Raw genomic sequence first — 25,450 nt, 5'->3', positions numbered from 1 at the left:
TTTTAGTAGAGACGGGGTTTCACCACATTGGCCAGGCTGGTCTCGAACTCCTGACCTTATGATCCACACACATCGGCCTCCCAAAGTGCTGGGATTACAGGCGTGAGCCACCGCGCCCGGCCGGGAAGACACCATCTCTTAAGAAAAGAAAAGAAAGAAAGAAAAAAGGAAAACATGATTACAGAATATAAAGCTCAGTAATAACATCACTACCCTGAGATAACCTGTTTTGATATTTTAGTACATTTCCTTCTAGTCTTTTTTAAAAAGTTCATATATATAATATGTTAAATAAATATATACATATCTATTTCAAAATTTGGACCACACTATACATGTAGTTTTGTATCTTTTTTCCCACTTAATGTTATATTCTAAACATTTTCTCTGACAAAAGATTCTTTAAAAAATAATTTTTAGTGGCAACATAATACCTTGGCATATGGATGTAACCATCTTTAATGTTTTTTTTTTGAGACGGAGTCTCGCTCTTGTGCCCCAGGCTGGAGTGCAATGGTGTGATCTCGGCTCACTGCAACCTCCACCTCCCGGGTTCAAGTGATTCTCCTGCCTCAGCCTCCTGAGTAGCTGGGACTACAGGCGCCTGCCACCATGCCTGGCTAATTTTTGTATTTTTAGTAGAGACGGGGTTTCACCATGTTGGCCAGGCTAGTCTCGAATTCCTGACCTCAGGTAATCCACCCGCCTCGGCTTCCCAAAGTGCTGGGATTACAAGCGGGAGCCACCGCACCCGGCCGTGACCATCTTTATTTGAATAGCTCAGGGTCTCTTTTCCAGATCTAGAGACAGCAGAACAAATTCAAGAAGGGTTCATTTCTGCCTTTCCTATTAACTGCAGGAGAGAGACTGCAGGGCACCACTAGGGGTCAGTGCAGAGCCATCATCACAGGAGCCTTTACTGTGCCTTACAGTAAGCATGTCTTGATGTAAGATAATTGGTTATGCAACAATCCATATTAATAAAGATTCTATATGCTACATTAGAGATCTATTCACATGACTAGCCATGTTCCCTTTAAGAGCAGACTCCCTTAGTACAGATTTCTCAGATTATAAATAAGATTCCTCCAAATTAATTTCCAAAACAGAGCTATTTTATAAACACCAAGGTCTATCAGTGTAAGACCTGTTCTTTCCTGCTTGGTATGAGATCATTTGTGCATAAAATACTTGGCCAAAGTGTTTTATAGGTTTGTTGGGAAAATCAAATAAATAACATGTAAACGTATCTTACAAATTATGAAGCCACATATAAACGTAAATTTGCTCTTTTTTAATGATAAGCAATTCAGATATTTGGGCAAGTGGCATGACCATGGATTATTTCACTGGTTTTCTTCCTCGTAGCCCTTGCTCTCCAGCTATTGACATCAGTGTGGAGTCAGTAATTCTTTTCTTAGAAGCTGAAGTTATCATTTACAGTAAATTTGGTTTTAGTTCTTTGTCATCCTTATTTACCTGAAGCTCCTTCAGGAAAATTACTCTGAGCTCAGAATTAGCTTAGATAACTTATAAATAGGTGTATAACAGGGATCAGAAAGCCACTCTAGGCCTGACATGCTTGACAGGCTCTGACGCAGGAGGTGGGAGTTCCTGGCCCTTCTAAACACAGATGTGACTATTAGGAGCAAAAGGTACCAAGGGCCCTATTTCCCACTGGCGAGGCTTCTTATTCAGCCCTCACTCTTCTTTCTGTTCACGTTTCCTCTTCAGTTCTCAGTGCCACATCATTTGGCATCAGAGATGAAAAGGATCTAGGGCTGGTTGTTCTCAGAACCAAGAAGCTTTCAAAACCAGCTTGTGGTAGCCCTTCTTGAGAGCAGCTCAGTCTTCTCATTGGTTCACTCTGACCAATCCCAGGATGCATAGGGACCCAGGCAAAGCAGGCCCTAGTAAGTCCCTTTTTTTTTTTTTGAAAGACAGAGGCTGGGCGCCATGGCTCATGCCTGTAATCCCAGCACTTTGGGAGGCCAAGATGGACGGATCACCTAAGGTCAGGAGTTCGAGACCAGCCTGGCCAACATGGCCAAACCTGGTCTCTACTAAAGATACAAAAATTAGCCGGGGTGGCACGGTGCAGGGCGGTATGGGGACGCCATGGCAGAGCTGCAGCAGCTGTGGGTGCAGGAGGTGGTGGACTCCATGGTGAAGAGTCTGGAGAGAGAGAACATCTGGAAGATGCAGGGTCTCATGTTCCGGTGCAGCACCAGCTGTTGTGAGGACAGCCAGGCCTCCATGCAGTAGGTGCACCAGTACATCAAAGCACTGCCATGTGCCTCTGGCTCAAGCCCGGGCTTTGCTCACCAGTGAGTTGGAGAAGTTCCGGCACCACCTGGCCCGGTGCGCCATGCATTGCAACAACAAAGCCAAAGATTCAATGGATACTGGGAGTAAGGAGCTTCAGGTGAAGCAGCAGCTGGACGGTTGTGTGACCAAGTGTGTGGATGACCACACGCACCTCATCCCAACTATGGCCAAGAAGATGAAGGAGGCTCTCTTATCCATTGGGAAATAACAGTCTTTGCCAGTGGCCACTGGGGCTGAGGGCAAGAATATATTTTTTATAAGGAATTGGGAATTTTAGTCTTTTAAGCAAAGTTTATGAAGAAATGAAGGATGGCCACAAGTGTAAGACATATGTCACTTGCCTCTGGACACTGGTTCTTTTATGTTTCAGTCCTAAAAAATGAAATGGAAAAAAGTGGTGCTAAATTGGGTCAGAGATATTACAGGAGAGTTTTAGAGCTTATATATCCTATGGCCAGTGCTTGTCCTGCCAGTAAGGATCTCCCCTGTAACAAGCCAGAGCCCTCCAAGGCACTAAACTCTTCTTATTACACAGGTACCAACAGGCTGGCAGGTTAGAGTTGGTGGAGTTTGAGGAGAGATATTTTCTCTTTGTTGCCAACATCCTGTTTACCAGAAGTGTCACCACACCATTTTCCGTAAGCTGTGAAACAAAATCCATGAGGTCACCCGCTTAGAAGGGCAAAAAAGTTTTCTGGGTCTTTGTTTTCTTGGTTTTGTGTAATTTATACAAGGCGATACAAATTGATTTTAAGATGTGGAATTGGGAGGGAGACTAGTTTGGATAAGAACTTTGAAAGTTTCCTTGAGGATCCCCATTTCTGGTCATCAAGATGTAGATGTAGATTTCTTAAAATTATTACATGCTGCATCTTTCAGCCTGGAGACCATGCAAAAACATGAGAGGTGATGACATACTAATTATGGGAAGCATAATTACTGGCTGATGGGCCGAGGCTGTGTGTAGCAAAATGACAGGACAATCTTGCAGTAACACTTTCCCGGTGAAGAGAAGGGGGTTTTGATTGTGATATATACTAGTATCTAGAAATGAACAGTAAAAGAAGAGCAGTTGGCTACTTGATTATAACAGAGTTATGAAGTACTGGATTTGGAAAAACCTGGTTTTTATAGAACGGATGGAATGAAAGCCTAAACCTAGCACTGCCTACTTAGCCCCCTGAATTAACAAAGCACAATTGAGACAAACCCTGGCAACAGGAAATCCAAGGAAGAAAAAGTAAGCAACTTGGGCTAGGATGAGCTGACTCCCTTATAGCAAAGGAGAGGCAGACCCCAGTACCAAAAACCATTTTTGCCTGGGGCTTTCGCAACTTGCAGTGTTCCTGCCCCGGCATGGCACGTTATTGTTTTGATAGCAACCTCATTGTATTTTCATCAACTTACTACTTGAAATGATAATATAGCCTGTCCATTTGCTGCTTCCAGGCTGTGTTATATTTTCCCGGTGGTTTGCTTTTAAAAATAAATAAAGTTTAATTTTCTCCCCTCCCCCTCCACAAAAAAATTAGCCGGGCATGGTGGTGCCTGCTTGTAATCCCAGCTACTTGGGAGGCTGAAGGAGGAGAATCACTTGAACCTGGGAGGTGGAGGTTGCAGTGAGCCAAGATCATGCTACTGCACTCCAGCCTGGGCCACAGAGCAAGACTCTGTCTCAAAAAAAAAAGAGACAGACTCAGCCGGGCGTGGTGGCTCATGCCTGTAATCCCAGCACTTTGGGAGGCCGAGTGTGCAGACCACTTGAGCTCAGGAGCTCGACACCAACCTGGACAACATAGTGAAACCCCATCTCTACAAAAATATATATAAATTAGCTGGGCGTGGTGGCATGCACCTGTAGTTCTAGCTACTTGGGAGGCTGAGGTGGAAGGACTGCTTGAGTCCAGGAGGTCAAGGCTGCAATGAGCTGAGATTGTGCCACTGCTCTCCAGCCTGGGCAACAGAGTGAGACTCTGCCTCAAAAAAAAAAAAAAAAAAAAAAAAAAGAAGAGTTCTCACTCTGTCACCCAAGCTGGAATGCAATGGTGCAATCATAGCTCACTGTAGCCTTAGACTCCTGGGCTCAAGTGATCCTCCCGCCTCAGCCTCTCGAGTAGATGGGATTATAGGTGTGAGCCACTGCCAAGTCCCTTATCACTGGCACTTGATTTCCTACTGGGCTAGAACCTTAAGCTGTTTGGTGAAAGAAGGGCACAGAAGTCACACAAAGAGAGCAACAGATGCTTGCACAGCAGCTCACACTGCCCTGGGACAGCTCCAGTAAAGAGCAGTCCTGTGTTCAGGTCCTACCTTCTAGAGCAGGATCTAACACAGGACACCAGTTGAATAGCTTATGCTCTAGATAAGTACAGTTCTTGGTATATAGCTAGTGTTCCAGAAATATTAGTTGCATGAATGAATGACAGGTTTAGGCTGTAAGACCAGCATCAGACCATGGAGTGCCTGGATACAACTACATTTCTATGGCCAATTAAAAAAATAATCCTGGGATTGGAGTAGTAGAGCTAAGCCTAGGGACTTGAAAGTTAGTCCAGAGGATCCCAACAGCTGGACACAAACTCAGGAAGACTCAAGAGCCATACAACAGCAATGCAGCAACCAATAATCACCGTTATTATTAAGAGCAGTTTCTAGTACAGAGCGCCTCAGGGCACTTACAATCCCCACAGAGGCCAGCTACCCAACATCAGAGTCTGACCAGCTGGGTGGTCCTGCCCTGCATCCGAGAGGGTGTCGGGACACTCATCCAGATGGCTCTGAGACAGCAGCAGAGCTGACAAGGAGGCCCCACAAGTGAGATTCCTTTGGCTTCAAGGTCGCAAGTCCTGTCCTTGGGCCTCCTGGCCTGCTGAGCCTCCCACCGGCTTTACCCTCAGAGATTGCTGCAGAAGCCTGTGTGCTGGAATGGGCTGCCACATTTCTAGGAAGGAACCCGGGGGCACATGTAGCCTGGTTATTCAATGTTATCATAGACGTGAATCACATCCTCGTGGTTGCTGAGAGCCTGAATGAGATGTGCGGCCTGTTCCAGGTCGGGCTCAGCCAGCTGCACCTTTGAGTTGGGGATGAACTCTAGTGCACAGGACACAGAACACAGGCCCAGGGAGTCCAGCTTCTTCCTCACTTGGTGCAGTGAAGAGGCATCACAAATAAACTAGGGATAAAGGAAAGTCAGGAGGTGAGGAGCCAGGAGGTAATGAGACAAAGCCACACAGGACCTTGCAAAGTCCTGAATGTCAGTACTGGAATGGATCACTGGGTTTGAGCTCTTCACTGGCAGGGACATCGTTTTCAATGTTTTGACTCTTTCTTTCTCATAGTCCTCACTAGAGTCGGTCCTATTCAGTATTCACTTAATAAATGTTTGTACAATATGTGAACTGTCTCACCTATACCCTGGGGCACATGAAGGAAGAAACCAAGAGGCATGCATAAGGCATCTATCAGGGTCCTCCCGGAAGCCCACCAAACACCCATGTTTTCATGCTTACTTTAAAAACGTTCCTTTCTTCTTCATCTTCAGTTTCCTTGACATCCTCAGCTCCTGCTTCGATTGCCATCTCCAGGGCACGCTCTAGGTTCACAGCCTTCTTCTCTCTGTCCTCCACTTCAACCACAATCACCCCCTTTTTGTCAAAAGAGTGACGAGCTCCTACAGCCATCACTCCTCTGACAGGGAAGGAAACAGGCTGGCATGAGTGGATGCCTCTAGAAGCTCAGCCTCCATAAAGCTCATCATTCTATCACTGTCTCTTTCTTACCCAGTCTATGAAGTACACACAGACATGGAGCAGATCGCATCCTCAAGGAGAAAATGCAGCTGCTGCTGGGTAAGGGAACAGCCCAAGAATGTCCCCACGCTCGATTTTCTGCCCTGATTGCAGTTGGGAGGAAGCAGACTTAGCTGATAATTTCCTGTGCCATTAAGATGCCAGTCCTGGTGGAGCATTTTAAGACTTAGGCATTATATGGCTACAGATGGGGATAATAGGACAAAGATCCCCTTCTACATCCGATGAACAAGTCTTTGGGATCCTGCTAGTAGAAACTACATTAAGGGAAAGTCAATTAACTCATTAGATTCTGCTAAGGAGCAAGTGTGCTTAAAACCTGAAACATGGCCAGGCATGGTGGCTCCCAGCACTTTGGGAGGCTGAGGCAGGTGGATCACCTGAGATCAGGAGTTCGAGACCAGTCTGGCCAACATGATGAAACCCTGTCACCTCTACTAAAAATACAAAAATTAGCTGGGCATGGCTGTGGGTATCTTTAATCCCAGCTACTCAGGAGGCTGAGGCAGGAGAATCACTTGAACCCAGAAAGCAGAGGTTGCAGTGAGCCAAGATCATGCCATTGCACTCCAGCCTGGGCGACAAGAGTGAGACTCCGTCTCAAAAAACAAAAAAACAAAAAACAAAACCCTGAAACACTAGCAGAGATCAACAGTACTTGCCTTGCAGAGAATTGGAACATAAAGGCTCTGTCCCCTACCACTCCTCCCAGACGCACACTTACCCATTCTTATTCAGGATATGTCTAATGTCTGCTTGGCACTTGTGGCTACTGTTAGATAATGCCTCGATGAGCAGAGAAGAGCCACCAGGGCCTCGACCCTCATACAGCAAATAAGTGTCCTTGGATTTCTGCAATAAACAACACAAGCACATTTTCCTGTTTCCCAATTCCTTCCCACATGTCAGCCCAGAACTACAAGTATCGCAAAACTAACTCCATGGGATGGGCTCTCTAGGCTGGAGCCTGAGCTCTCAATCTTTATTTTTGTCCCCACCCTCTAACCAACTTTTGAGGTAACAGGAAGTACTACCCCTAACTTGGAAGGAGTCTGTTTCTCCGGTCCCTGAACAATCCATCAGCCATCTCTCAGCTTTGCTTCCTACCATCCCTAACCAAATGCCACATCTAGTCCCTACCCAATCCCACTCAGACTCATCCTCCTACACCCCCATCCTGTAAGAAACCCACCGGTCAAGTCTCAAGGTCCCTACCCTGGGCTGCTGAGTACTGCTGTGAAATATCACACACCTAGGCCTTGTCGTAAGAGCTGCTGAAAACAGCATGGTCTCAAAATTGAAACAATTAATCCAGAGCTCTAGGGACTAATCTCTTCTGGACCTTCCATGCCCCTACTCATCCCTTGTCCATGTATTCAATATTCCCCACTCCAAGCACCCTGTCCTGCAACTTTCCAGGAATTCTCAACTCATAACTTCTCCCTTCCTCTTTCACAAAGGTAAAAAGGGCCACTAGGTGGGGAAAATAGTTGCTGTCTCCACCACCTTCTCTGCACCATGGCCTACATGAAGGCAATAAGCATAACGGTTAGAGCACAGGCTCTAAAGTCTGACTATCTGGTTTCAAGTCTGTCATTTTCTATGCGACTTGAGTCAACTCACCTAACATTCCTGTGCCTCAGTTTCTACTTACGGTGGTTTTGAGGATTCGATGAGATAACACACATAGAGTTTTTATCCATGCTTAGCCTGCAGGAAGCACTCAATAATTTTGAGCTATTAAGATAACTATTACTTCCTCAGAGCCTCCCTACCTGCCCCAGAGAAAGGTGTACCCTTACGTGGACTCTATATACCTGCCCCTCCCACCATCTCTATCACCCCCATCCTCTCCCTTTCTACTGGCTTTTCTCCTTTAGGGCATAAACATCTGAAAAACAAACACTTCCTCCACCTAACGTAAGGGCTTTCTCCCACACTGCCCCTTCTTTCTATAATACCTCATCTCCCTACAACTTGGCTGAGCAGTCCCGGTCTTGACTGTATGGCCCTGCATACTGCCTATGCATCCTACTCCCAGTTGTGCTCCTAGAACCAATGACCAAGGACGGTGAGCTCTCAGAAGACTCTAGGCTGAGGGCGTCAACTACATTGCTACCGTTCTCTCTGATAATTTTTTTTTTTTTTTTTGAGACAGAGTCTCGCTCTGTCGCCCAGGCTGGAGTGCAGTGGTGCAATCTCGGCTCACCGCAATCTCTACCTCCTGGGTTCAAGCGATCCTCCACCTCAGCCTCCCCAGTAGCTGGGATTACAAGCATATGCCACCACGCCCAGCTAATTTTTGTATTTTTAGTAGAGATGGAGTTTCACCATGCTGGCCAGGCTGGTCTCCAAACTCCTGGCCTCAAGTGATCCACCCACCTTAGCCTCCCAAAGTGCTGGGATTATAGTCGTGAGCCACTGCACTTGGCCCCTCTGATAATTTACAGTGTGTTTGTTGGCCATCCAGACATGAGCCCGGTAGAGGCTGTGATCAATAAAAAGCATGTCAAACAGTACACACCTCCATTTTCAGTGCTGTCTCAATCGTTGACTTGGGCATATGTTTGCTGCGACACACCTCTAAGATATTGGCCAGGTTGCTGTTGTGCTCAGGGTTGGGGCCTCCTTCTGAGATTTAAAGAAAAAGAAAAAAAAGAGTGAGCAAAGACATCTCATTACAACATGGGAGAATAAAAGGGATTTCCAGCCCCACCAAGCCAAAGGAGTGGCAAATCACCATTTAGCTCTCAGTTACCTTAGAATACCTTAACTAGTGTTTCAGTGGGATACGGAGAAGTATTTTCGGGTTTTTTTGGTTTGTTTTTTGAGATGGAGTCTCACTCTGTTGCTGGCTGGAGTGCAGTGGCACGATCTTGGCTCACTGCAACATCCACCTCCTGGGTTCAAGTGATTCTCCTGCCTCAGCCTCCTGAGTAGCTGGGATTACAGGTGCACACCACCACACCCGGCTAATTTTTGTATTTTTAGTAGAGACCAGGTTTCGCCATGTTGGCCAGGCTGGTCTCGAACTCCTGACCTCAGGTGATCCACACACCTTGGCCTCCGAAAGTGCTGGGATTACAAGTGTGAGCCACTGCCCCTGGCCTGGATAAGTATTTTGGAAAAGTACTTTTTTTTTTTTTGAGACAAAGTCTCACTTTGTCACCCAGGCTGGAGTGCAGTGGCATGATTTTAGCTCACTGTAGCCTCAACCTCCAGGGTTCAAGCGATCCTCCTGCCTCAGCCTCCCAAGTAGCTGGGACCACTGGTGTGCACCACCACACCCAGGTAATTTTTTTCGTATTTTTTGTAGATTCAGGTTTTCACCATGTCGCCCAGGCTGGTCTCAAACTCCTGAGCTCAAGTGATCTGCCTGACTCGGCCTCCCAAAGTGCCGGGATTACAGGTGTGGGCCACCATGTCTGGCCAGAAAAGACCTTTTTTTTGAGACAGAGTCTCACTCTGTCATCCATGCTGGAGTGCAGTGGCATGATCTTGGCTCATCTTGGCTCAATGCAACCTCCCACTCCCGGGTTCAAGGGATTCTCCTGCCTCAGCCTCCTAAGTAGCTGGGATTACAGGTGTCTGCCACCATGCCCAGCTAATTTTTGTATTTTTAGTAGAGATGAGGTTTCACCACGTTGGCCAGGTTGGTCTCGAACTCCTGACCTCAAGTGATCCACTCACCTTGGCCTTCCAAAGTGCTGGGGTTACAGGCATGAGGCACCGTGCCTGGCCAGAACTTTCTAATTCATTGTCTTTAGGGATGGTTTTCATTCTGCTAGGTTTCAGCGATCTCTACTTTGTGTCAGATGAAGAAGGGTTATAGATGGTAACAACACTTCCTGGACTCATTACTGCTCTTACTCTACTACTTTGTGCATAATAATTATTTTTATTTTATTTTATTTTTATTATTATTTTTTGAGACAGAGTTTTCCTCTGTTGCCCAGGCTGGAGTGCAGTGGTGTAATCTCGGCTCACTGCAAGCGCCGCCTTCTGGGTTCACGCCATTCTCCTGCCTCAGCCTCCTGAGTAGCTGGGACTATAGGCGCCCGCCACCACCACGCCTGGCTAATTTTTTTGTATTTTTAGTAGAGACGGGGTTTCACCGTGTTAGCCAGGATGGTCTCGATCTGACCTCGTGATCCGCCGGCCTCAGCCTCCCAAAGTGTTGAGATTACAGGTGTGAGCCACCGTGCCCAGCACTTTGTGCATAATTATTGAAATGTTCACATGACATTGTGATCTGAGGGTAGGGGCTGTATCTCATCATCTTTCTAGTACCAATGGCATGCCTGGCACAAAATAAACACAAGTTGGTTGAACTTCATTGGGATGCAGTGGCTGATACCTGCAATCCCAGCACTTTGGGAGGTGGAGGTGGGTAGATCATTTGAGGTCAGGAGTTCGAGACCAGCCTGGCCAACATGGTGAAACCCTGTCTCTATTAAAAATACAAAAAAATTTAGCCAGGCATGGTGGTGCACACTTGTAGTCCCAGCTACTCCGGAGGCTAAAGCAGGAGAATCACTTGAGCCTGGGAGGTGGAGGTTGCAATGGGCCAAGATCACGCCACTGCACTCTACCCTGGGTGACAGAGTGAGACTCTGTCTCAAAATAAATAAATAAATAAATAAATAAAAGTTGCTTGAACTTAATATCAAGAATTTTGAAGAAAAGGAAGCAAACAAATACCAGGCATGAGCTGAGGGGGTAAATTAACATTAACTGAATGCCTATGATGTGCCATAAACCATAAACTACCTCAAGGTGGGTATTATCCTTGTTTCAGAGAAACTCAAGTTAAGCTACTTGTTCAAGGTTAGTCAGTGACAGAAACCAGTCTTCCTGACTCCAAAGTCCACAGTTTCTCTCTCTTTTTTTTTTTTTTTTTTTGAGATGGAGTCTTGCTCTGTCACCCAGGCTGGATGGAGTACAGTAGAGCAATCTCGCTTACTGCAGCCTTCAACTCCTGGGTTCAAGCAATTCTCCTGCTTCAGCCTCCCGAGTAGCCAGCATTACAGGCATGCACCACCATGCCCAGCTGTTTTTTTTTTTTTTTTTTTTTGTTATTTTTAGTAGACACAGGGTTTCCCCATGTTGGCCAGGCTAGTCCTGAACTCCTGACCTCAAGTGATCTGCCTGCCTCTGGCCTGGGATTACAGGCTGTGCCACTGCGCCCAGTCCAAAGTCCATGCTTTCTACAGGACTTTTCCTTTGCTCCTACAGATGTCTGGCCCTAAACAGAAAAAAAGCCTTTTCAGTGTGGCGACCTAAGGGAGAAAAGACATGGCTGCAAATCTACCTTCCAAGGAAATGTGTCTTGGGGAAACATTAATGAAGCAAACTAAGGCCTAAGCTAAGGCCTAAGCACTTAAGTAATAGCTTTACTCAGTGCCCCTGCCACAACCAATAAGGTACTTGAGGCGACTTCAGAGGGGTTGATTTGTCTCTTCAGGAGAGACACACATCTGCCCTGACTCTTAGGGCTTGTTTCTATTAAGTACCCAGCTAGATTAGGATGAAGTCACTTCTACCTTACCGGCTTATCTTCTTAAGAGCAGCTCCCTCTCTGACAAACTGGCCAGATGCTCAGCGTCTGGAAAAGTGAGTGAGAACCTCCAACGTAGGGTAGGTGTTTTGAGGATTTATGAGGTGGGCAATGGTGGGTACTGGGGAAGGAAAACAAAGTGAAGGGCCGGAGATCTAGGTGGGCCCAATTCCGAGAGGCAAGCGAGGCTGCGGGCACTGAGAGGGCAGCGGCAGCCAGTGCTGGGTGACCGTCAGGGTCTCACCTTTCACTGCCAGGCGGATGTTCAAACAGAGTTTGGAGAAGATGCGACTCCTTTCGACGTCCTTCGGACCCTTGATGTGCCTGACTTTGGACCACTTGTTGTGCCCGGCGGGGACAGCCGCGGTAAAGTGCAGCGTCCTGCCCGGAGCGGCACCGCAGCCCCGGGGCTCGGGGTGGGAGGGCCGGGGGTCGCGCGGAGGAGCCGCCCTGACCCCGGGGCCTCGTGCCAGCAAGCATCGGGCAGCGGCCCTGCTTAGGCTGGCAGCAGCCCAAGCCGACATCGGTCCCGACCCTGGGGTTCAAGCTGCTAGCAGCAGCGGCCAACGCCGGCGCGTCTCTTCCACTGCCGGAACAAGCAGTTCCGGACCCCGCGGCCGCCTGTGCCGGTCACCTGAGATCCAAAGGCTTGGGCCCGCCCGGGGCGGCTCAACAGCTAATGACCCTACACTGTCCCCGCGGCACCCGGGACTGGGGGCCCTTGATGGCGTAGCACACTTCCTTTACCGGGTTCGCTCCAAAAACACGTCCCCACTGCCCGCAAAGTCCGTTCCGTGGCTGCACGGTACTCGCTCCTCTCTTGCCCTTGAGCAGATCTAGTTAGTGCTCAAGCCCTCACGGTTGCCTAGAGAGCGCCGGACTTTGTTTCTCATAATGTTTTAGTGGAGACACATCTGAGTTATGAAACTGACTTTGCTTCCAAATTGCTGCCTAAATCTGAGCAAGTCCAGAATGATATTTTGTTGTTGCCTCATTGTACTGGGAAAGAAACTGCTGCCAGAGAAGTGAATTGCCCAAATGTTTAATCTCTCTGAACGTCTTCCCTATTTATAAATAAGGATCTAATATTTGCTTTATCAACATAGGAAAGTTAGAAACACAAAATGAGCCCTTAGAGCTTTAAAGTAATAAAGTTTTATGTAAATAGCCACAGTGCACTTAAGCCCCTAGATGCAAGAGATGGTTTGGGACAGACTCAGATGAGTCACAGGCCTTTGGGAGAGGGAGAATGATCAGACAAGCCCTTTGGAGCTAAACTCCCCTCTTCATTTTCTCTCTGCTGTCTCGAAAGAGAAAACCGAATCCGTTAGAAGATGGAGAGAAACAAAGCGGCAGCTGCTGAAAAGCTTTGTAGTGACTCCCATGCTGGTGAGATTAAGTCCAAAGGGCATGACATATCAGGTAGAGAAGCAGGACAGCCGGGCGCGGTGGCTCACGCCTGTAATCCCAGCACTTTGGGAGGCTGAGGCAGACGGATCGCTAGGTCAGGAGTGCCAGACCAGTCTGACCAACATGGTGAAACCCCGTCTCTACTAAAAATACAAAAAAATTAGCCGGCCGTGGTGGCGCGCGCCTGTAATGCCAGCTACTCAGAAGGATGAGGCAGGAGAATCGCTTGAACCCGGGAAGAGGAGGTTGCAGTGAGCCGAGATCGCGCCACTGCACTCCAGCCTGTGCGACAGAGCGAGAATCCAACTCAAAAAAAAAAAAAAAAAAGAGAGAGAGAGAGAGAGAGAAGCAGGACAGTGTGAAGTCCAAGTTTGTGCCCTCTGCAGTTAGACTGGGTGGCTTCAAACCCTGGTTGTTCCATTTTCTAGTGTATCCTTGGGCAAGTTCCTTTACTTTCCTGTTTCAGTTTCCTTACCATAGAATGGCCTTGTGAGGACTAAATGGGATAATGGATGCAAAGCACAAAAGCATAGATTTTTTATTTTTTATTATATAAGAACCTCCATGGGGCTGGGTGCGGTGGCTCACGCCTGTAATCCTAGCACTTTGGGAGGCCGAGGCTGGCAGATCACTTGAGGTCAGGAGTTCAAGACCAGCCTGGTCAACATGGTGAAACCCCGTCTCTACTAAAAATACAAAAATTAGCCAGGTGCGGTGGGTGCCCATAGCCCTTCATACATGCTTGCACCTTAGCACTTACCTTTTAAAAAAATATCAAAATGTTTATATCTGTTTCTACCGTAATACTAAATTCTCTGAGAGTAGGACTGTACTTCCTATGCCCAACACAGTTCTCATTTTTTAAAAAATTAAGTTTTGACATATTTCACAGATCACACAGATCACCAATTCAAAGTGTACAATGTGTTATAGAATATTCAGAGCTGTGCACAATTGATTTTACATTTTCATCATCCCCAAAAGAAGTCCTGTACCCATTAGCAATCATTCCCTATTTCCCCCCAATTCCCACAGCCCTAGGCAATCACCAATTTACTTCTGTCTCTGTGGGTTTGCCTCTTCTGGACATTTAATATGAATGGGCCCACACACTATGTGGCCTTTGGTAACTGGCTTCTTTCACTTAGCATGATGTTTTCAGGATTCTTGCATGTTGTAGCATGTATCAGTATTTCATTTCTATTGCCAAATAATATTCCATTGTATGAATATACCACGTTTTATTTATCTGTTCATCAGGCAATGGACATGTGGTTGTTTCCACCTTCTATGATGAATAATGAGGCTGTGAACATTCATGTACACATTGCTGTGTGGACCTATGTTTTCACTTCTTTTAGTTATATACCTAGGAGTGGAATTGCTGGGTCATATCATAACTATGTTTAACCTTTTGTGGGATTGCCAGACTGTCTTCTAAAGTGGTTGTATCATTTTACATTCCCACCAGCAATATATGAGGGTTTAATTTCTCCATATCATGAATTTTTTTTTTTTTTTTTTGCTTTGTTACCCAGGCTAGAGTCCAGTGGAGCAATCATAGCTGACTGCAGCATAGAACTCCTGGGCTCAAGTGATCTTCCCATCTCAGTCTCCCAAGTAGATGAGATTACAGGTGTGAGCCACTGGCTAAATTTGTTATTCTTTTTGACTATAGTTATCACCATCCTTGTGGGTGAGAAGTATTATCTCATTGTGGTTTTGATTGTATTTCCTGAATGACTACTAATGGTAAGCATCTTTTCATGTGCTTATCAGCCATTCATATATAGTATTACTTTTTGCAATTTAAAAATAGTTTATTCAGGCCAGGCATGGTGGCTCACACCTGTAATCCCAGCACTTTGGAAGGCCGATTTGGGGCAGATAATGAGGTCAGGAGATCGAGACCATCTTGGCTAACACGGTGAAACCCCGTCTCTACTAATAATACAAAAAATTAGCTAGGTGTGGTGGCACGCGCCTGTAGTCCCAGCTACTCAGGAGGCTGAGGCAGGAGAATCGCTTGAACCCAGGAGGCGGAGGTTGCAGTGAGCCGAGATCGCGCCACTGCACTTGAGCCTTGGTGACAGAGCGAGACTCCATCTCAAAAAAAAAGAAAAAAATATATATGTAATATTTACTTTGAGAAGCAAAAATCAAATTAATGGAATTTGTAATCACAAATAAGTGTAGAGGCTAAAACAAGGTTTGAGACTGCCCTAGTCCAGTCAGCCTGAGACCAGCAAGGGAAACCTATAGTCTCACAGAGTTAGGCTTATCAACTCACTGCAACAAGGGAGACTGCACACCAGAGGAATGGTGAAGTGTCTTACCGAAGAAAAAACTGGTCATAGAATTATGGGGAAGGGTGGAAGTTAGGTGAAAAATTAGAGTTAGGCTCAAAGAAACACAGACCTGTGTGAAAGGCGGATTAAGATCAGCTGGACTACCAAGTGGACCCAGGGGATCAGTTTCCCTGGAAAGTACAAAGTCAAGGTAAATGTGGACTGTTGTGTTCAGAAGCCCCTGCTCTGAAGCACAATACCTGGCCTGGAAATCAAGGCTGCTTCTCTGTCAGAGTGACTCAGCTCCTCCAAGCAAGACTGACTATAAGCCTTAATTCTCACAAATACAATTGCAAACAGCAAACTTTGTCAGCCTATGATTTTGGAGAACGAAATTTCTCAGTGAATTTTTTTAAAACAGTAGTCACTCAGGGAGTTTTGACACTTTATGTTGCCAAAAAAAGAAAAAAAAATTGCAGTGTGTTCTTGATAGAGGTACTATATCCTGTTAACTGTGCAGCTGGTTTTATCTGTCTGTGCATCTGTGATGAATGGCAGGGCAGATTTTAACTCTCAGTCTGAGTTAATAGCCACCTTTCAAGATAAATTCATAGTTGACTGAACCATCTCTAGACGCCTGGCTGTCAGGCTCACTGAAATCACTTAAGTAACAATGAGCCTTGGAAGCTAAAGACTGGCTACAAATATCATTCCATTAGGTTTGACCATGTGTTGTCCAGTACTAACAGCTCTCAATGAATGAGATTACATTAGTTATTAGTCCAGATACTTAGCCGATTTGCTAGTATGGCTGAGACATAATTATTCACTACTTCACTTCCTTTTCCAGGGTACACAGGAAGACTACATTTCTTGACTTGACCTTCCTTGCAGTTGGCAGATAGGAGCAAAAGTGAGTAAGCCACTTCCCGGCCCATCCTGAAAAATGTACTCCCTCCCACCCCCCATAAGCAACCTGGAGGTCACACGTTTATTTTTATTTTTTGAGATGGAGTCTTGCTCTGTTGCCCAGGCTGAAGTGCAGTGGTGCGATCTTGGCTCACTGCAACCTCCACCTCCCGGGTTCAAGCTATTCTCCTGCCTCAGCTTCCCAAGTAGCTGGGACAACAGGCGTGTGCCACCATGCCTAGCTAATTTTTGTATTTTTAGTAGAGATAGGGTTTCACCATGTTGGCCAGGCTGGTCTCGAACTCCTGACCTCAAGCTATCTGCCCCTCCCTCCCCCCTCAGCCTTCCAAAGTGCTGGGATTAGAGAGTTGAGCCACTGCACCCGGCCCAGAGGACTTTGTGTAAGCAAAAAATAAGCTTTTGTAGTGCTCAGTTTCTGAGATTTGGGGGTTTGTTGCCGCAGCATAGGCTAGCCTATAAATAGTATTACTCTCTGTTTTCTCCTTAAAAACCAGAGAGCAGGACTCATGTGTTTCTCACAAAATATACATTGTCAGACCATATAGCAGCACAGTTCCAAAGGACCAGCAGGTACTCATAAAACTTAAATTCTCTGCCAGGCACGGTGGCTCACGCCTGTAATCCCAGCACTTTGGGAGGCCGAGGTGGGTGGATCATCTGAGGTCGGGAGTTTGAGACCAGCCTGACCAACATGATGAAACCCCATCTCTACTAAAAATATAAAATTAGCCAGGCGTGGTGGCACATGCCTGTAGTCCCAGCTACTCAGGAGGCTGAGACAAGAGAATCGCTTGAACCCGGGAGACGGAGGTTGCGATGAGCCGAGATCGCGCCATTGCACTCCAGCCTGGGCAACAAGAGCGAAATTCTGTCTGAAAAAAAAAAAAAATTAAATTCTCAAGAGCACATACTTCCCTTCACAGATCCACTGCCACCGGCTCCATATCAGCTGACACAATGGCAGGTACTTACCGAATACAGGTTCACGGAACCAATCAGTTTGCCTTTCTTCTCTTCCTTCACAGTGGCCCAACATGAAGAATAAAAATATAAATAAATGGGGGTAGTATTTCATCCAGGACACACAGCATTTGAAGAGCAGTGGGATAGGAACTCCCCCACCCTACCGTGTGGGGCATAGGTTTGGGAAATTAGCAGGGACTTGGACATTCCTAGTCAGCCATCAGAACCTGTCCAAATCCAAAAGATCTGGGAGTTATTTCTCTGTCCTCCTTCACAATCAATAAATTACTAAATGCTGATGACTGCATCCCTCTTTACTTGTGCCCTGTCCTCTCCATCCTTGCCGTGGCTGCTGCTGCCGCCGCCGCCTTAGTTCAGGGTTTTTCTCTCACCCTATAAGAAGGAAGAGGCACTTTTTCATTGCCTATCCTTCTAAAATGCAATTCTGATGACTCCTCTCTGTGTATGTTTTCCAGGATCATACAGAAGTGTAATGTCTAAAATTTCTGCAAAGCGGGAGACTTTCCCTGCCCTGGCTCCTGTATACATCTCTAGCTACATTTCCCACTATTCACCCCACCTCAACCTGCAATTCTCTAAATATGACCATACTTTCTTGCCTCCATAGATTTGCACATGGGTGTTCTCTCTGCCTTAAAGGACATTCCCTATTTCCAGATAACTCCTACTCAGCCTTCAAAACCCAGCTTAGGCATCCATCTTAAGTAGTTTTCGCTGACCCCATGTGGCTCCCACACAGGCAGAGGTGATCACCTCCTCCTGAGGGGTGATGCCTAAACACATCCATTATCGCACAACAATGCAAGTTATTTGGTTTTTTTGTTTTTTGTCTTTTAAAAATTTGGGTGGGAGGGGGTAGGGATAAAAGACTACCAATTGGGTACAGTGTACACTGCTCCGGTGATGGGTGCACCAAAATCTCAGAAATCATCATTAAAAAAACTTATTATCCACATAACCAAAAACCACTTGTTCCCCCAAAACTATTAAAATAAAATAAATGCCAGGTGCGGTGGCTCACACCTGTAATCCCAACACTTTGGGAAGCTGAGGCAGGCGTATCACAAGGTCAGGAGTTCGAGACCAACCTGACCAACACGGTGAAACCCCGTCTTTACTAACAATACAAAAATCAGTCGGGTGTTGTGGCACATGCCTGTAATCTCAGCTACTCAGGAGGCTGAGGCAGGAGAATAGCTTGAACCGGGAGGTGGAGGTTGCAGTGAGCCGAGATCGCGCCATTGCACTCCAGCCTGGGTGACAGAGCGAGACCCCGTCTCAAAAAAAGAAAAAAGAAATGCAAAAAAAAAGATTTGTCTTAGATCTTAGTCTGGCTAAAAGAAATTTTTTTTTTTTTTAATAAAAATGACTGATTGATTGAGACAGGGTCTTGCTATGTTGCCAAGGCTGGTCTTGAACTCCTGGCCTCAAGTGATCCTCCCACCTCAGCCACCCCCATGCCTCAGCTGGGATCACAGACCACTGTGCCCGGCCACAAGTATTTATGTAGATGTCTCCTCTGGTAGACTGCAACCAACTTGAGGGCCATGTCCCCTGGCATAGAGGAGGTGCTCCACTGAATTAACAAGTGAATGACTAAATAGGATATAAAAGGTGATGAGTAGACTGCCCGGCTCGGGCTGGGGCACTGCCACTGTCTATGGAACATGACCAAAGTGACAAAATGGGAAGAACTGAATTCGTCACAAAAAGAAATTCAGTCAATCTATACATGTTCAAGTTTTATTACAAAGTATGATGGGCAGAAAATACGGTACTTCTTATACAGGAGGCTGAAACAGAATGAAAGGGTGAAAATTAGGTTTAATTTACTTAGGAAACAAGAAATAGAAAGTCATAGCTATAACACTCCACTTTCAGGTGCCCATGAAGTAGCCTTCAATGGAGATTCCCCATAGTTGTTTCACAGCACAGTGTTAAAATTTTATTACAAGCCCTGTGTACAATCAGTCCTGTGAAAATATTTATAAAAGAAAAATATTACAGTACAGTTCTGCAAGGGGCAGCTTCCTCTACACCTGACCGTGGATGCCACAAAACCTATAATATAGAGGGAAAGTTTAAATATATAACAAGAATGGAAGTTCAGACATACTAGGCTAAAGGACACAGAAATGGATCAGTTAGAGCTTAACATTTCAGAGCAAGAAATCTCCATTTTCTACATAGAGGTTTATACAATCATGCTACAAATTCACTCTGGGTGGGGTGGGGAAGGAAGGTCACTGACAAGAGGGGTAGTAAAATACACAGGAACCAAAGCAAGTGAGTCAGACTCAACTAAATCGATTCAAAGCTTCAGCTCAACAATTTTCATAACACATGGTATACCACAATCAACCCAAGGTGAGAACATTTCTTTTAAATAGTAGATATCACATGTTCATAATCACTGGGTTGTCCCAAAGGTGGGTGCCTATAAACTTTCCAGCTGTTACATAGACTGTCAACATCTTTCTTCTTGAGTTTAAACTTTCTTTAGCTTATTTGTTTCTCGTTGGATATACCAGTCCAAGCCTCTTTGGGAAGGCACCTGCATGTTTCCATATTTTAAAAATGACATCCAGAAAGTAGCCTGAGAGGACCTGGCCCATCCCATGTGGCCACACATTTGACTTTGACCATTAGCAGCAGTGACACTGTGAGAGGGGGAGAAGGTGCAGGTGGGTGAAGTGGGCAAGGGTCTGCAACACGAGACGCTCTCAGGAGCTGGCCCAGCCAGGGCCTGGCCCAGGGTTCACAGTGACTTTGCTCTGCTCCGCCCTCTTCCCTGGGAAAACCAATCTAAGTATCAAGCATGATCTTCCTTCTTCGTCCTGGAGTACACACAGTAAAGGGAAAAGTCTGCTTTGAGGCTTCTACTTCAATGGTCTCCCCTACCCCAAGCCAGGAATGAAAGGGGCTGCCATATTCTCAAAGTGGGGAAGGCAGAGGGACAGTACTGGGCTGCCCTCCCACGTGTGGTAAACCCTGCAGCTGCTACATGTCTTCACAGCCCAGGAATTCAAGGCCCAGGTGGCAGCAGGAAGAAACAGTGGAAAAGCAAGGGGAAGAGAAAAGAGAAAAAGGAGGGGGAAAGTCTGCATAACTGTCATAACCTCTGCTTCTCCTGCTCTGTAACAAACCCACAACCAGGAAGAGTCATGGTCTGGAACAATCATGGGACCCCAAACGCCTGTAGGTTTTTTACCACCAAACATCACCCATGGCTGCTCTAAGCTGTCATTTTGTTCCCACAGTTACCTAGCATCACGGATGCCCAATTTATGGCCCAGGAAGGCTGACCCAGGCTAAGGGCAGTCTCACTCCACAGCCATGCAATGGACAGTCTGAATGTTTCCCTACCCCAGACCTTCACTGACCTCTACTATTTCCTCCTCTGATATAAAGAAAACACTTTAATTTTCTCCTGCATCCTACATCTCCTCCTAAAATTTTGGCCCTAATTGTCATCAAAACCTTGTAGGATTCTGAATTTTTTGTTTCTTCCTGAATCTTAGCCAGTTCTCTCAGAGCCAATCCTGGATTTATAAGGAATTTTCACCTATTTTTTTTTTTTTTTTATTTTTTGAGACGGAGTCTTGCTCTGTCGCCCAGGCTGGAGTGCAGTGGCACGATCTTGGCTCACTGCAAGCTCCACCTCCCAGGTTCACGCCATTCTCCTGCCTCAGCCTCCCAAGTAGCTAGGACTACAGGTACCCGCCACCACCCCCGGCTAATTTTTTTTTGTATTTTTAGTAGAGATGGGGTTTCACCATGTTAGCCAGGATGGTCTCGATCTTCTGACCTTGGGATCTGGCCACCTCAGCCTCCCAAAATGCTGGGATTACAGGTGTGAGCCACCACACCCATCCTCGCCCAGTTATTAAATACCTTCCCTCTTCAAGTCCTAACCTTGCAGGCTAATTCCTCCCTGGAAGAAGAGGATTCCAATGCTCCTGAGCATAAAAAATTCAGGTCCTTGAATGACGTGGACCCATTCTCCAGCTCTCTGGTGGTAGAGGCCTGAGGCCTAATTTATTCAGCACCTCCATCCTTCAGTCAGAACAGATGAGGACAATACAGGCAGCTGTGCCTCAGGCTGCCAGGAGCAAAAGGGCCATCACCAGCTGGGCCACAGCCTGGCGGAGCCTCCATGTGGGCTTCCTGCTAAAGTCCTAGTGGCTGCTCCTCCCGCAGTCAGGGAGAACAGATCCAGGGCCTCCCACCCAGTCTCGCTGGCTGTCAGTTTGAGAACCTCAACAAATTACAGAGTTGTTTTTGCAACTACAACAGATCGGTGCTTTCTGGAGCATGGATGGCTTACAGACTTTCTAAATCCTGAGACTGTAGAAATCCCCTCCTCAGTCATGGGTCGTCGGGCTGGTGGAGTAAAGGGAGGGTAAGAGAGCTGGGACTCAAAGACCAGCAACTCATCAACTGTGAGTATGTGTGTGCTTGCTTAGGGGGGTGGAGTCCCCCTGGGTCCCCGGTGGCATTCAGGGGAAGACTGTACTGCAGGACCTAAGGAAGGATGACAGGAGCTGGGCGTCCACAGGGCAAGGGAAATCTCAAAAGTTGTTGGTTTCCAGAGTAAATAGCTATCTTATGCAAATATGTTCTAATTATTATTTTTTTTTCAAGTTGTTGTTTCTGAGTTCCAGCTGACAAATTCCACCATACAGACCAGGCGTAGGTGCAGATCAGGAAAGGAATCTTAGAACTCAGTGGATGTAAGCCCTGCCCAGCAGACCAGCCCCTTCTACCACTGACTTCCATTTCAGACCCTTCTCCACAGGAAGGAACTGATGGCCTCCTAAACAAGCAGCCATCAGCTTGGCCTTGCTACCCTTGAGAGAAGGACCCAGTAACCATTATCAAACACAATGAAAAGCAGAGGAGGGTTCTGACCAAGAACTGCTCGCTTTGTATCTCCAAACGATGCAGTGCAAATCCAGTGGCAAATGCAGGAGAGGCAACCACAAGCACATGGCCAGCCAGAGTCCTAAAATCAGAACAACAAAGTAAAAGGGTAGAAGGGGAAATATGCTGGCTAAAAAAAGAGCCTTTTTCTTTGGGACAGGTCCCTGTATGGTAAAGCAAAGAGCTAGACTTTTGGCATATAATGACATCTACTTCTGAAAAGGAAGACTTAACCAAAAAAGCTTAAGGGCCCAGAAGAACAAAGTTACTGTTTTACTTCTCAAGCAGGTGAGAACCAAAGAGGACAAAACCATCATCCTTCAGGCCTGCTACTCTACTAATCTCAGATGAGCAATTCAGAGGGACTTAAAAACCTTCGGGTAGGAGCAGAGCGCAAGGAAACAGCCAACTTTCCCCCAAGAGCACATCCCAAACTGCCTGCCCCAAGGGCTCATCTAACGGTGGAATCACACATATGCCCCTCCATGGAACTCATTCACATAACAGAAAGACACCTGCGGCCTGCAAGTCAAAAGACAACTGCAGGCTACAAGTCCAATACTGCTCAGAACCTAAACTGGGGGAGAGAGGGGTTGACAGGTGTGGGTAGAGCTCTTAACTGGCTGACCCTGGGGGTCTATAATTCCTTTTCCTTCTTTTTTTTTCCTCCCTTTTCATTACCCACAGTATAATGCTTTTTAACTATCTATCCACTTGACAGCCCAGGATTGCCGCAGTCCATCAGTCCATCTCTCATGTAAGGTCTTGTTCAGGGTTGGAAGCACAGACAGGATGCCTCGGGAAGACTCTCTCACCTCAGAACACTCAATCCAAAGAATGCCCAATATACCACCAGGCACAGTAAACTCAAACAACAGAAGCACCGAAGTTCAACTCAGATATCATTCTTGCCTATCATTGAAAAGACACTAAGTGGAATGGCCTGGGGCTTATATTTGGATGGAAAAACAGACTCTGAAAGAATGTACTGGAAATATGCTTGAAGTTCAGCTTCATGAAACGATTCCCCTCAAGTCAGGTACCCTGAGAGCCTGTTTCTCTCAGCTCTACCATGCTGCCAGTGGGAACCAATGGGCTGGACAGTGGTGCTTCAGGGTAAACAGAGGCTTCCTATGTCTGTTTACAAGCCCAGAATGCCCTTGAGAGGAGCCAGGCTAAGAAAGGTGTGATGAGTCAGTGGACTTCAGAGCACCAAGGTGGTTTGGACTCCCGGTCAGGTATGTACTACACAGGCAGTGACTCAAGAAGGCAAACTGCTCATGGGGCCAGGGGCCCAGTACCAGCTCCAGGCACTGAGGGAAGAGAAGAAGGTGCAAAGAGGGAGGACTATAAGACAAAGAAATGAAGCAGGAGAGTAAAATTCTTTTCATAAAAAAATTAGCCTGATAGATAACAAATATACAAAGTTAAAATTTGTTAAACACACTGATACTAGGAGAAAAGACAAATTGGTATTTGTTCCCACGTAAGTGCTAACACGAACATGGACATGGACGAGACATGAACTGCTGCCTTGGGCAGCAAACAGAGACACCTGGGCAGAGGAATAGACACAGCCAGTGCGTGAACTGCTCCTCAACACAACGCCTGACAAACAAATATACACACATTTTTTAATTGAGGAACCAAAGGAGAAGAGGAAAGGAGAGAAAATCTTAAAACTCAGCCCTGGGCTGAGGAGGCGCCACACAGCACTGAGTCTGCCACAGAGGGCGATGGGGTGACTGGCCAGGAACTCCTAGAGCAGCTTCTGGTAACAGTGGGTGCAAAGCAATGAAAGACATACTGGCCACTGGAAACATGTTTCTTCTTACTTTGGGGGTGGGGCAGAGGCAGGAAATACAAAAGCCCCTGCCTCGTGGGCACAGCGCCACCAACACTACACTCTGAGTATCTCCAGGCAGTTGTTGTAGCAGATGGCGATCCAGTCGGGCTGAGTTGATGCCCACTGCACATTGTTGATCTCTCCTTCAGCTGTGTAGGCCAGGATAGGGTCCTCAATGGCTCGGGGCATTTGCTGGATGTCCCAGATGAGAGCCTGGTGGTCATCCGCTAGGGACAAAGAAAGCCAGCAAGCAAGGTCACAAGTGAGGCAATGCGGATGATGATCCCTGCATTTCAGGAGCAAGTCACAGTTTACAAAGCACCCCCGTGATGGCGGTTCTATTTTAAGCCCCCATTTTATCGATGAGGAAATCGAGATTCAGAAATGTTAAGGCACTTGTTCCAAATCACACAGCTATTCAGCCAAGTGAGTGGCAGAGCCAGAACTCAAATCTAGGCCCTGACTCCATCTCCCAGATGTCCCCAGGCTCTATCCACTGCACTAATGAGTCCTTCTCATCTGGGTCAGGTATCAGGAGTGGACAAGGGGATACCAAACATGTCATTTGCAGCCACTTAAAATACTTGAGTGGTTACAAAGATCATTCTCTGATCATTCAATATAATGAGAGCGTTTCTTCCCTGTTTGATGGACATTTATGCTTCAGTGAGGTGTTATATAGAAGACTGATAAAGTAGTGCTGATATGTGCTGTTAAAAAATTCTTTCCTGGCCAGGCATGGTGGCTCACACCTGTAATCCCAACACTTTGGAAGGCTGAGGCAGGCGGATCACCTGAGGTCAGGAGTTCAAGACCAGCCTGGACAACATGGTGAAACCCCATCTCTACTAAAAAAAAAAAAAAAATACAAATTAGCCAGGTGTGGTGGCACACACCTGTAATCCCAGCTACTTCGGTGGCTGAGGCAGGAGAATCGCTTTAACTCGGGAGGCAGAGGTTGCAGTGAGCCGAGATCATACCACCGCACTCCAGCATGGGTGACAGAGTGAGACTTCATCTCAAAAAAAAAAAAAAAATCCAAGAAAATAGCTATGGGAAACACCAGAAAGATGGTAATCACTTTAAATATATAAAAGCACATGAAAAATAAGTAGAAGGAAATATATTAAAATGAGAATGATGGCAATACTAAGATGGCAAGGTTAGGATTTATGTTTACTTTTCTCTAGTTCCTAAGTGATTCGTAATGTGCTCATATTACTTTTTTTTTTTTTTTTTTTTAAATGGAGTCTCATTCTGTTGCCCAGGCTTGAGTGCAATGGTGCAATCTCGGCTCACTGCAACCAAAGCCTCCCAGGTTCAAGCGATTCTCCTGCCTCGGCCTCCCAAAATGCTGGGATTACAGGCATGA

The 25,450-nt window shown here is 46.4% G+C and overlaps 2 protein-coding genes and 1 pseudogene across 3 annotated transcripts in view, besides 2 other annotated features; 1 reads left to right on the top strand and 2 right to left on the bottom strand.

Moving 5' to 3' along the window:
- Positions 1,698–2,198: an enhancer, noted in NCBI's record as "H3K4me1 hESC enhancer chr17:61688467-61688967 (GRCh37/hg19 assembly coordinates)". NCBI's record gives its function as "activates a minimal SCP1, AML or CMV promoter by ChIP-STARR-seq in naive H9 embryonic stem cells {active_cell/tissue: H9 hESC(naive)}" and the evidence as "EXISTENCE:reporter gene assay evidence [ECO:0000049][PMID:30033119]".
- On the top strand, positions 2,082–2,733 carry FAM136DP (family with sequence similarity 136 member D, pseudogene; annotated as a pseudogene).
- Positions 2,199–2,699: an enhancer, noted in NCBI's record as "H3K4me1 hESC enhancer chr17:61687966-61688466 (GRCh37/hg19 assembly coordinates)". NCBI's record gives its function as "activates a minimal SCP1, AML or CMV promoter by ChIP-STARR-seq in naive H9 embryonic stem cells {active_cell/tissue: H9 hESC(naive)}" and the evidence as "EXISTENCE:reporter gene assay evidence [ECO:0000049][PMID:30033119]".
- On the bottom strand, positions 4,940–12,410 carry TACO1 (translational activator of cytochrome c oxidase I). The gene is made up of 5 exons (NM_016360.4): positions 11,942–12,410; positions 8,665–8,771; positions 6,865–6,992; positions 5,841–6,018; positions 4,940–5,503 (listed from the first exon to the last, which is right to left on the bottom strand). The coding sequence occupies exons 1-5, from the start codon at positions 12,219–12,221 to the stop codon at positions 5,303–5,305; spliced, it is 894 nt and encodes a 297-aa protein (NP_057444.2). The 5' UTR covers positions 12,222–12,410; the 3' UTR covers positions 4,940–5,302.
- DCAF7 (DDB1 and CUL4 associated factor 7) overlaps positions 19,039–25,450 on the bottom strand; it is a 43,790-nt gene continuing 37,378 nt past the window's right edge. Inside the window, exons 7-8 of one of the 2 annotated variants that reach the window (NR_073585.2) lie at positions 24,068–24,305; positions 19,039–19,102 (exon numbers count right to left, since the gene is read on the bottom strand). Coding sequence is in view for 1 of the 2 variants with exons in the window: in NM_005828.5 (NP_005819.3) it covers positions 24,133–24,305 (173 nt within the window). In the remaining variant the exon portion in view is untranslated. Of the gene's footprint in view, positions 24,306–25,450 lie in introns of both variants that reach the window. The other variant, NM_005828.5, reaches the window with a different exon arrangement.

The sequence above is a fragment of the Homo sapiens genome, chromosome 17 (genome assembly GCF_000001405.40).
Source record: "Homo sapiens chromosome 17, GRCh38.p14 Primary Assembly".
Classification (NCBI taxonomy): domain Eukaryota; kingdom Metazoa; phylum Chordata; class Mammalia; order Primates; family Hominidae; genus Homo; species Homo sapiens.
Note: the sequence above shows the minus strand (reverse complement) of the source record. Positions and strands in the feature narration are given on the sequence as shown.

What these genes read in the sequence shown, in the direction of transcription:
- TACO1 (NM_016360.4), bottom strand. Translation starts at nt 12,221, where the DNA reads ATGTCGGCTTGGGCTGCTGCCAGCCTAAGCAGGGCCGCTGCCCGATGC. An exon ending in AGACAGCACTGAAAATGGAG is followed by an intron (nt 6,993 to 8,664) that starts GTGTGTACTGTT and finishes TGTTTATTGCAG; the next exon opens with AAATCCAAGGACACTTATTT. An exon ending in AAGAAAGGAACGTTTTTAAA is followed by an intron (nt 5,504 to 5,840) that starts GTAAGCATGAAA and finishes CTTTATCCCTAG; the next exon opens with TTTATTTGTGATGCCTCTTC.